The 11449-nt window shown below is 48.5% G+C and overlaps 1 protein-coding gene across 11 annotated transcripts, besides 2 other annotated features; it reads left to right on the top strand.

Annotated features, from left to right (window-relative positions):
• Window positions 2254–2767: an enhancer, noted in NCBI's record as "H3K4me1 hESC enhancer chr10:81321844-81322357 (GRCh37/hg19 assembly coordinates)". NCBI's record gives its function as "activates a minimal SCP1, AML or CMV promoter by ChIP-STARR-seq in naive H9 embryonic stem cells {active_cell/tissue: H9 hESC(naive)}" and the evidence as "EXISTENCE:reporter gene assay evidence [ECO:0000049][PMID:30033119]".
• On the top strand, window positions 4448–9003 carry SFTPA2 (surfactant protein A2). 11 transcript variants are annotated; one of them, XM_047425705.1, is made up of 7 exons: window positions 4448–4491; window positions 4857–4926; window positions 5128–5187; window positions 5349–5543; window positions 5850–5969; window positions 6726–6803; window positions 7270–9003. In XM_047425705.1, the coding sequence occupies exons 3-7, from the start codon at window positions 5166–5168 to the stop codon at window positions 7644–7646; spliced, it is 792 nt and encodes a 263-aa protein (XP_047281661.1). In that variant the 5' UTR covers window positions 4448–4491; window positions 4857–4926; window positions 5128–5165; the 3' UTR covers window positions 7647–9003. The 11 variants fall into 11 exon arrangements, with proteins under 11 accessions (XP_047281661.1, NP_001092138.1, NP_001307742.1 ...); NM_001098668.4 differs by lacking the exon at window positions 5128–5187 and having other exon boundaries at window positions 4857–4886; NM_001320813.2 differs by lacking the exon at window positions 5128–5187 and having other exon boundaries at window positions 4857–4886; window positions 5346–5543.
• Window positions 7566–8066: an enhancer, noted in NCBI's record as "H3K27ac hESC enhancer chr10:81316545-81317045 (GRCh37/hg19 assembly coordinates)". NCBI's record gives its function as "activates a minimal SCP1, AML or CMV promoter by ChIP-STARR-seq in primed H9 embryonic stem cells {active_cell/tissue: H9 hESC(primed)}" and the evidence as "EXISTENCE:reporter gene assay evidence [ECO:0000049][PMID:30033119]".

Raw genomic sequence — 11449 nt, 5'->3', positions numbered from 1 at the left:
AGATTGTGTCACTGCGCTCTGTCCTGGGTGACAGAGCAAGACCCTGTCTAAAATAAAATAATAGATATAATATAAAAATAAGAATTCTCAATACTACTACTCCTAAGGAAAATGTCAATCAAACCACAATGAGATATCTCACCCCAGGTAGACTGGCTCTTATTAATAAGACAATAACTAATAAATACTGGCAAGGATGCAGAGAAAAGTGAACTCTTATACACTGTTGGTGGAAATGTAAAGCAGTACAGTTATTATGGAAAACAGAGGGGAGATTCCTCCAAAAAACAAAAAATAGAACGACCATATGATCTAACAATTCCACTACTCAGTATTCATAGGAATATATTCAAAGGAAAGGAACTCAGTATGTTGAAGAAGTATCTGCACTCCCATGTTTATTGTAGTACTATTCACAATAGCCAAATGTGGAATCAAATTAAGTGTCTACCAATGGATGGATGGATAAAGAAAATGCGATAACTATACACCATGAAATACTGTCCGGCCCTAAGAAAGAATGAAATCCTGTCATTCATGGCAACATGGATGAGCCATTATGTTAAATGAAATAAAGCCAGGAAGAGAAAGTTAAACACAGCATCTTCTCACACATATGTGGAAGCTAAAAATAAAGTTAATCTCACAGACGTAAACAGTAGAACAGAGCATACTAGAGGCTGGGAAAACCAGGAGAATGAAGGATGGGGAGAGCTTGGTCAATGGACAAAAGATCATAGCTAGACAAGAGCAATGAGTTCTAGCCTTCTAGAGCACTGGAGGGTGACCATAGTGAACAATAACTCATTATATACATTCAAAGAGGTAAAAGAGAAGACTGTGAATGTTCTTATCACTAAATATTGATACACTTTTGGGGTGATGGGTATACAACTTACCCTGATTTGATCATTGATTATTGCATACATGTATCAAAATAGCTCACTATATCCCATGTATATATAAAATTATGTGTCCATTAAAAATAAGAAATTTTTTAAAATTAAAAAGAGTAAAGAATAAGTCACCCAAATTAAAAACAAGCAAACCCCAAGAAAAGACTATAGTTAACAATTATATCCCTGTGTGTCAATCTGAAAATATGGCTGGGGTATGTAAGAGAAAACACTTATTGTAGAAGAGTATCTGCAGTATGGTCTTATTGATGCAAAGTCAGTGTGTGTGTGTGCGTGTGTGTGTGTGTGTGTGTATGTGCACGTGTGTTTTCCTGAGCCTATTTCATTGGAGATAGTTGCTGCCATCTGCCAGTTTCAATTCCTCCAAGGCGCAGAATGGGAAAAACTGTCTCCCTCACCTCAAAGCCTTAATAAAACATGACGTGTTTCTCTGGGGTTTGGAAGACTCAAAATGCTCAGGGTAGTGAGGTGAGAGGGCTGTGTTGATGAAAATTAAAATTTGTCATTTCTAGGTCATAGAAAGATTTATTGTGTTATGCTTTTTAAGAATGCAGTGACATTTATTAGATGTGCCAATGTAATATAGATATGTGTGTAAATATACAGCACACAATATATGTGTGTACATATATTTATAATACATACACACATAATTGCTTAGTATGCTGGCTGCATCAAGGAAAAGAAGCGTCAACTTCCATTCCCTTAATGTGGCTGAGCTGCCCCTTAGATTCTGACAGTAGAAGTGATCTTGAAATATATCCATAATTAGTAAATCTATTTATGCATCTCTTTGTCTCCAGGTACAGGTAGATTAAGCACATCCCTCTGACTCTGGGAAGGTTCTAGCAGAGGACTGAGCTGGAAAGAGGATTTCTGGGTAATTTTGGCAATCCATGTAACCCCTGTCAGCCTCAGTTGACTGAAGTATGGAATGGGGATTTACTTACTCTCTGTACGCCTCATAGAGTGCTGCAATGATCCAAAACGACGGGAAAGCTCTAGCAGCCACAGACAGCCTCTTCCCACTGCTAGCACCCAGTGCAGCTGGAGAAAGGGGAAGGAAAGAGTCCCTTGAGCACTGAGAGAGAGGTCTCGAATCTGCAGAGACCCCCGTGGGCTGTTCTTAGGGCGGTGCATGGCTCCCACTCTGTGCCCCTTCAGTCTTAAAAAGCGTCGTCTTCCTGGTTTCAGTCACACTGGGTGAGGAGGGGGTCCTGCCACAGGGAGTGGGACTCGGAGTGCAGTGAGACTGTGGACTCTGAGGTGGCTTCGCGTGGGCACCCAGGGCCTGGCAGTGTGAAGAGGATGTCCCCGCAGAGGGAGGTGGCCCAGCATGGGGGTTGAAGCCCCTAGGAGAGTGAGAAGGGCACTGAAGGAGAGCGGACCGGCCAGGGCAATGGGGCCTGAGCAGGGGGAGGAGGCTGTGGACGCGGCAGAGTGGCCTGGCTTGGACACTCGGAACTCAGCAGGGACTGCAGCAATTCTTAGTGCTAAGAATGACAAGCTTGTGTTTCTTAACTACATTCTTTAGATTTGCTGGTGCCATGTGCTGGTAAACTGTACCTGTCTCAACATCAAACTCGGATAGTGTCCCTTGCAGCACGCAGGCGAGTGCATGGTTCCCCCTGGCGGTCGGTGGCAAGCCTCACTCACGAGTCCACATTGCTACAAATCAATCAAAGGGCAACAAAGAGCGTGATGAGGGATGGGATCTTTACAATAGTCCCAAAGTGCGTCCCCACAACATAGTCACTGATTAAAATCAGAAAAAGAATAAATTTGCAGTGGCAAATTGTGACACCCACCACCTTAATTAAATGATCAACACGAACATCATCAGTCTTGGGGCAAACTAAAGTCACATGCTGCCGGGTAGAATGGGAGAAGAGCGCAGCCGGGTGTCGATGGTATTTCTGCCGAAGTTACAGAACCTGAATCTAACTGTAAGGCAATACAAACAAACAAACAAACAAAGTGAGGGGTATTTTACACAGTAACTCCCCTGTGATCTTCACACTGTGTTCAGGTCATGAAGGTGAAGGGAAGACAGAGGGACTTTGTGGGTTTCAGGACCCTGGAGAAGCGTGACAACCGAATAAGGCACATGGCTCAGAAACGGATCCTTTGCTATAAAGGACACTATTGGGGCATTGTGTACATTTTGCATAGGGCCTGAAGGCTATTTGGAGTTATTGTATCCGTGTTTATTTCTTGATTACGGTTATAATGCAAAAATGCCTTTGCGTGAAAAACACATTAAAGTATTGGGGTGTTGGGGTTTCATGTTGACAACCTACTCTCATAGGTTCAGGGGAAAAAAAAGTCGTACGATACTGGCAATTTTTCTGTAATTTTGATGTTGTTTCAGAATAATAAAATGAAAAATGAAACTGACCAAGGCCACCTGGTTAATAAGTGACAGCTCTGGGTCAAAACTCAGGTGTGCCTTTCCCCTAAAGCCATGCCCTGCCCTGCCAACCACAAGGCCCTGCACATCCAAGTTGGCCTCTGTTCCTGCTCATCACCTGCAAAACAGCCCTGCCTCCCCACAGCCAAGTTGCTGGAGCTTCGCCCCACCTGCCCCCAACCTGCACTGGCCTGACTCCCCCATTCCACACCTGGCCCAGCACCCACCACATGGTGTGGCAGACAGCACTGGGGCAGCTGAAAGACTCCATGCTACAAATTGGCACTGCCCAGCTTCCTGCTCCTGGGAGTGGGGTCCGTTGTCTGAGCTTCCGCTCCCTGGAAGAGCTCCAAACTCCTCAATGGTTTGGGATTTTTCAAACCAATTCCAAATAAGCCAGGGGAGATTTTCCTGTCTGGGTTCCCATCATTACCACCTCCACAGTTGGAGATTCCCTCCTAATCCAGATGCTCAAACCAGGACCCTAACAACTAGGGCTTCATATATCACTGGGACACTTAGCATAATCACCATTGCAGGTTGCCAGACATCACCCAAAGTGATGTTCTACCAAAGACAGAAACTGCAGCTCTCCCATGACCTTCCAGGTGCTGCCCTGACTCCTCCAGCTGAACCTGCTAGGGCAGAGGGAAGTGGAACGTGCAGCATATTTGCCTGCCACTCTGTCCATGTGCCCACCAACTCGGCTGCAGGCTCCAGAGACACTGGCTGGGGGTCCTGGGGCTCAGAGCTGAGCAAGGTTACAGGGCAGACAGGTTGGCCTGGATCAACCTGACCAACCTCAGCTGAAGCAGTGACTTCTTCATTGTCTGAAACTAAACCAGGAACCCAGTGGAGCTCCCTGAGTGCAGAGTGGGTGACCTTAGCCAGTGAGGCATTTCTCTTCTTACAGACCTGGTATTTTTCTTTACCAGGTTCTGTGCTCCCCTCAAGGGTCCTAAGTATTCCTGCAGCCTGAGTGTTCTGCAGGGAAATGTGCTGTGTAAACACTATGCCTATTTCCTGCTTGGAGAACAGGTTTTGTGGTAGAGCTCTCAGGGGTGGGGAAGAAGCCTGGCAGCCCACATGCTATAAATTCTGTTGTCCACCTTTATGCTCTAACTTGGAGGCAGAGACCCAAGCAGCTGGAGGCTCTGTGTGTGGGTGAGTTTAGCCACATCCCCTAGGTGTTCTCCAGCTTGAGGATCGCAGGCAGAGAGGACCAGCCCAGCAGCCACAGGCCTGACCAAGGCCCAGGTTGGGAAGGAGGGCAACTCCCCATTTTCCACTGGGAGGTGTTTCACAGCATGGTCAACATGGATGACCTACAAAGACCCTCATGCTTTGATATCTTCCTTGGCCAGATCCATCCCTACCAGGGACTCAGCAGGGCCTAAGCAGGGGGAGTGGGAGAACAGACCCCAAGAGGAAGGAAGACCTCATCACTGACTGTGAGAGGGTCATCACCCCCCGATGATCACCTTGAAGGGTCCAGGCTGTGGGCCCTATTCATCTCTTTTCATTCTCAGGTCGCTGATTTCTTGGAGCCTGAAAAGAAGGTAACTGGGCATATGAGGGACAGATGGAGTGAGTCAGTGAGTGAGTGACCTCATCCTTCCTTCTAACAGCCTGGGAGGGACAGGGCAGGTTTTCTGCAGAGCATGGAAGATTCAGCTGAAATCAGAGAGGTGAAGCCAGTTTCCCAGGGTAACATAGTGAGGCACTGAAAGAAAGGAGACTGCACTGGAGCCCAGGTCCCTGGGCTCCCCAGAGCTCCTTACTCTTCCTCCTCCTCAGCAGTCTTGAGACCCCACAACCTCCAGCCGGAGGCCTGAAGCATGAGGCCATGCCAGGTGCCAGGTGATGCTTGGAATTTTCCCGGGTGCTTCGGGTCTTCCCAGCACTCTGGTCTCGCCCGCCCTGCCTCTCGGGCTCTGCCCAGCTTCCTGAGTCCTGACAGAGCACAGTGGGGGAGATGTTGGCAGAGGTGGCAGATGGGCTCACGGCCATCCCTCCGGCAGGAGCAGCGACTGGACCCAGAGCCATGTGGCTGTGCCCTCTGGCCCTCACCCTCATCTTGATGGCAGCCTCTGGTGCTGCGTGCGAAGTGAAGGACGTTTGTGTTGGAAGCCCTGGTATCCCCGGCACTCCTGGATCCCACGGCCTGCCAGGCAGGGACGGGAGAGATGGTGTCAAAGGAGACCCTGGCCCTCCAGGTACTGTGCTGCAGACCCCACCCTCAGCTGAGGGACACAGACCCCTTTTCAGGAGGCCCATCTGTCCAGGCCCCTAGGCTGTGGGCCATAGTGAGCTGGGGGCTATAGTAAGCTGGGTGGGACTTCAGTCTGCAGGGGTGGTGGGTTCCTGGGGCCCTTATGATGGCGCATCCTGGAGAGTCTGTCCTCATAGTGCCCACGGAGTGATAGCTGAGCCAGCCCCGGTGATAATGGGCATCGAGTCTCACTAGCTCCAACCAGTTGTGGGTGACAGATCCTACACATCCATGTCTCTTTTCTCTGCAGGCCCCATGGGTCCGCCTGGAGAAACACCATGTCCTCCTGGGAATAATGGGCTGCCTGGAGCCCCTGGTGTCCCTGGAGAGCGTGGAGAGAAGGGGGAGGCTGGCGAGAGAGGCCCTCCAGGTGAGCAGGGCGGGGCAGGTGGGCAGTGGAAACATGGGCACAGCGACCTGAAGTCAGTTACACAGGGGTGATGGGGGTCAGACAAACCCTGCAGGTTCCCCAAGGGCATTTGGCTCAACCTAAGTAAGAGAATATGAATTTGAGGGAGAAAGCCGAGGTGTCTGGGGAGTGTGGTCACAATTCAGAGAAGGGCAGGTGTGGGAAGTCCTCCGTGCCTCATGACCGCTGATGGGGACACACTGAGTCAGGTGTGGGACGAGGGACAGCACTGGGAGGCAGGGGAGGCATGTCCTGGGATGGAGGCCCTGGGGGCAGTCTGAAGGGTGAATGCGGACGAGGCATCCAGGCAGATGGTGTGATCAGGAGCCCCACAGACAGAGGGGAACTTTGAAGCTCAGAGCGGTAAGCAAGTCCATCAGGGCAGTGCAGAGAGCATCATGCTTGCCCTTGGTGGAGGGTGCGGGAGAGGGACTTGCCCCACAGAGGCGGGCAGACAGAACCCCTCGAGGGACAGAGCAGGAAAGAGGACAAGGGGTGGGGGTCTCAGCAGGGGCAAGGCTTCACTAAAGAATAGGGGACCACGGGGTGTGGAGACACACTGGAATCTCGTGGACCCTCTGAGCCTAGGGTCTGGGTGGTGCCTAACAGCAATGAAAGGGCAGAGTTCCAGGATTGCAGATGGCAAAACGCCTGCGTGGCAGCAAGTGGGAGTCTTCACTGGCCTGCCCCTCCTTCTGTGTGGGGCACTCTCCACAGGGCTTCCAGCTCATCTAGATGAGGAGCTCCAAGCCACACTCCACGACTTCAGACATCAAATCCTGCAGACAAGGGGAGGTAAGGGGACCCCCTGGGCCTCACGGGGTAGGAGTTTCCCACAAATTCCCCTCATTCTCAGCACCACCTTCTAGAATAGAGATGACAAACAAGCGTGCACATGCAGGTGTTGGGGAAAGGAATGATGCTTGCTTTTCTGATGTCTTTGAATGGCCAAGAGGAGACAAGCAGACACAATTCACTCCCCATTTCATAAGAAAGCAAGTTCTCTGCCTGTCTTGCTTTCCACTGAATCCTAGGAAATTGCACCATTTCTGGCAATAAGTAATTGTTACTTAGATGAATGAATAAATGGAGGAGAGTCTAAAAGTGAATTTAGAAAACTGCAATTGGAAGAGGAAGAGAAGACACAGAGAGAGGCAGAGATGGAGAGACTGGGGAGAATCTGGTAGCAGAGACCCTAGGTGAGGGAGGTGGCTTAGAGACAAAGTGGTCAGTGGCCTGACCTGGACTCCTCTGCTCTCAGCCCTCAGTCTGCAGGGCTCCATAATGACAGTAGGAGAGAAGGTCTTCTCCAGCAATGGGCAGTCCATCACTTTTGATGCCATTCAGGAGGCATGTGCCAGAGCAGGCGGCCGCATTGCTGTCCCAAGGAATCCAGAGGAAAATGAGGCCATTGCAAGCTTCGTGAAGAAGTACAACACATATGCCTATGTAGGCCTGACTGAGGGTCCCAGCCCTGGAGACTTCCGCTACTCAGATGGGACCCCTGTAAACTACACCAACTGGTACCGAGGGGAGCCTGCAGGTCGGGGAAAAGAGCAGTGTGTGGAGATGTACACAGATGGGCAGTGGAATGACAGGAACTGCCTGTACTCCCGACTGACCATCTGTGAGTTCTGAGAGGCATTTAGGCCATGGGACAGGGAGGATCCTGTCTGGCCTTCAGTTTCCATCCCCAGGATCCACTTGGTCTGTGAGATGCTAGAACTCCCTTTCAACAGAATTCACTTGTGGCTATTAGAGCTGGAGGCACCCTTAGCCACTTCATTCCCCTGATGGGCCCTGACTCTTCCCCATAATCACTGACCAGCCTTGACACTCCCCTTGCAAACCATCCCAGCACTGCACCCCAGGCAGCCACTCCTAGCCTTGGCCTTTGGCATGAGATGGAGGCCTCCTTATTCCCCATCTGGTCCAGTTCCTTCACTTACAGATGGCAGCAGTGAGGCCTTGGGGTAGAAGGATCCTCCAAAGTCACACAGAGTGCCTGCCTCCTGGTCCCCTCAGCTCTGCCTCTGCAGCCCACTGCCTGCCCAGTGCCATCAGGATGAGCAGTACCGGCCAAGCATAATGACAGAGAGAGGCAGATTTCAGGGAAGCCCTGACTGTGTGGAGCTAAGGACACAGTGGAGATTCTCTGGCACTCTGAGGTCTCTGTGGCAGGCCTGGTCAGGCTCTCCAGGTGGTCAGAGGGCCCAGTGGTGCCCCAGCACGGTGGTGCCCAAGCCAACCCTGTGACTGACATGTACGATTCACTCCTTTGAGTCTTTGGATGCCAACTCAGCCCCCTGACCTGGAGGCAGCCGGCCAAGGCCTCTAGGGAAGAGCCCCCCACTGCAGACATGACCCGAGTAACTTTCTGCTGATGAACAAATCTGCACCCCACTTCAGACCTCGGTGGGCATTCACACCACCCCCCATGCCACCGGCTCCACTTTCCCCTTTTATTAATACATTCACCCAGATAATCATTAAAATTAACATGTGCCAGGTCTTAGGATGTGTCTTGGGGTGGGCACAGTACCCGGTGACTCTTGGGGATATTTATTTATTTTCCCTGAGCCTATATCTTCATCTGTGAAATGGGGATAAAAATACTTGTTGCTGTCACAATTATTACCATCTCTCCAGCTAGCAAAATTACTACCAGAGCCGTTACTACACACAAAGGCTATTGACCGAGCACATACCATGTGCCACACACCTTGACAAAATCTTTTAATACAGTTTATTATGTACTATTCAATCTTTACACAATGTCACGGGACCAGTATTGTTTACCCAATTTTTTATAAGGACACTGAAGCTTAGAGGAGTGAAATGTTTTGAGTGTTATTTCAGAGAGCAAATGGCAAAGACTGGATCCAAACCCATCTTCCTGGACCTGAAGTTCATGCTCCCAGCCACCCCACCCCTGAGCTGAATAAAGATGATTTAAGCATAATAAATCGTTAGTGTGTTCACATGAGTTTCCATAGCTTTGGTTCCAAGAAACATCACATTTCTGTTTTTGTAAATGAAATGAACTCTGGCTCTGAGCCCCCACTTTCCTCAAGATTGGAAAATTCAATCTCAGGATGTGCTTTCTTTGTTTGATGGGAGGGGCAACCTGCTCTCCTCGCTATGATGCTGCTGGAGGTTGGGGAGCTACAGACACCATTTGGAAGAACACATGGGCATCTTGAATCCATGTGGTGCATTTGTGGGTGGGGATATAATGCCTTCCGTCCTCTGCGCAGCCACCTGAATGATTTCTGCAGCCCAGCAGTGATGTTGGCACTCAGGGCTCAGTTCCAGGCCTCAGTGAGCCATCCTAGTCTCATGTCGGCTTGAAATGGGACCACTGCCCCATACCCCAGGGCTGTGCAGGATTGAGACAATGTCCCCAATTGCTTGAGGAGGCAGCCACGTATGTGTCCCACCTCCAGAAAGGCTCCCACTACTCCCACCCTCACACCTGCGAACACTCTCTCTCGTGGATTTACTGCTTTTCTTGGGCAGAGGCAAGCTCTGGATCAAGACCCACAAAATCAGATGAGAATGAGGGGAATAATTTCTGATTCTTTTCTGAATGATAATTTTTAATCTGGTCACCATTCCACATGTGCTTGGGACCCAGCACACACATTATTGAGCCTTCCCGTAAATTAAGAGAAAAACAAGGAGAAGCATGTACAAATGTTCCTTGACTTATGATGTGGTTAGGTCCTGATAAACACATTGCAAAATGATATCTTAAATGGAAAATGCATTTAATACATCTAACCTACCAAACATCATAGCTGAGCCTAGACTACTTTAACCATGCCCAGAACCCTATGTTAGCCTGCAGTTAGGCAAAACTATCTAACACAAGGTCTATTTTATAATAGGGTGCTGACTATCTCATGGAATTTATTGGCTACTGTACTGGAGGTGAATGAATGGTTGTATGTGTACCTGAAGTGTGGCTTCTCCTGAATTCACATCGCTTTTGGACCAATGTGAAGTCTATAAATTTTAAGTCAAGCCTCCATAAATCCAGGACCGTGTGTATTCCGAACTTCATAAGTAAATAAGACTCTGAAAATTTATGTCTTCTCATTTCTTGGGAGGATTATTTTTACTTTCTTTATGCATTTATTTGCTATTGTTACTATTTTATCATATTTTAAATTAACTATTGCTGGTTTATGAGAAAAACTCTTGATTTATTTTTTATTCATCTTATACCCAACCATCTTTTTGGATTCTCATTTTTTTCCTAATATTAATACTTCTAAGATAATTGATTCTTTTATTTTTTTATTTCTATTTTTGAGACAGAGTCTCTCTTTGTTGCCTGGGCTAGAGTGCAGTGGCACAATCTTGGCTCACTGGAACCTCTGCCTCCCGGGTTCAAGTGATTTTCTTGCCTCAGCCTCCCAAGTAGCTGGGATTACAGGTGTGCACCACCACGCCTGGCTAATTTTTGTATTTTTAGCAGAGACAGGGTTTCACCCTGTTGGCCTGGCTGGTCTTGAACTGACCTTAAGTGATCCTCCTGCCTCGGCCTCCCAAAGTGCAGGGATTACAGGCATAAGCCACCTTGCCCAGCCAGTGATTCTTTTATATTTTATAGATAAATAGTTATATTTATGAAGGATGGAAATTTGATCTGTCCTTTTATGACATTTATATTTTTTCCATCTCATTTCTTAGCTCCACCCCAGGAGCTCAGTTAAGGAGGGAGGAGAAAGGACTGAGCCGGGCACCCCTTCCCTCCTCCCATCTTGGGCCTGGGATGTGAATGCACACTGACCTTCTCTGGTTCGCTCTCTTTCATCTGCCATGAAACCTACGGTGAACCATTGTGAGGCAGGAGGGTTGTGGAGGGCTCCAGGGACAAAGCCTTTGTGAACACAGTAAGCTTTTGTTTTTGTTTTTCATGAGAGACACAGGAAACTGTAAAGGAATATTGAATTTAGGCCTGAACTTGTCATATTTTTCTCATAGAAAGATCATTCTGGTGAATATACCAAAGATGTGCCTGAGATCTGTAGGAGTAGATGCTGGGGGACTTCCCTGAACAGCTGTCATTATGTAATAGTCCAGGTAAGATTTTTTTTTTTTTTTAGTTAGAAGCCTATGGAACCAAACAATGAGTCATGGACAATAGCTATTAGTTATTCCTCAATTATCTACACCGGTGATGGCTCAATAATCTTAGGGTTGCTGGGTTTAGAAAATAAAAATATAGGCTGGGTGCAGTGGCTCACGCCTGTAACCCCAGCACTTTGGGAGGCCGAGGCAGGTGGATCACGAGGTCAGGAGTTTGAGACCAGCCTGACCAACATAGTGAAACCCTATCTCTACTAAAAATATAAAAAAAATTAGCGGGGCATGGTGGCAGGTGCCTATAATCCCAGCTACTTGGGAGGCTGAGGCAAGGAGAATCACTTGAA

This window comes from Homo sapiens, chromosome 10 (genome assembly GCF_000001405.40).
Source record: "Homo sapiens chromosome 10, GRCh38.p14 Primary Assembly".
Taxonomy (NCBI): domain Eukaryota; kingdom Metazoa; phylum Chordata; class Mammalia; order Primates; family Hominidae; genus Homo; species Homo sapiens.
The sequence above is the reverse complement of the archived record's forward strand: the minus strand, read 5'-3'. Positions and strand labels throughout refer to the sequence as shown.

Bases quoted from the DNA above. Each gene is read 5' to 3' on its own strand.
- SFTPA2 (XM_017016608.2), top strand. From the start codon at position 4,899: ATGAGGGACAGATGGAGTGAGTCAGTGA. The intron at 4,927-5,345 runs GTGAGTGACCTC...CCATCCCTCCGG, and splicing joins CAGATGGAGTGAGTCAGTGA to CAGGAGCAGCGACTGGACCC. The intron at 6,804-7,269 runs GTAAGGGGACCC...CTCTGCTCTCAG, and splicing joins AATCCTGCAGACAAGGGGAG to CCCTCAGTCTGCAGGGCTCC.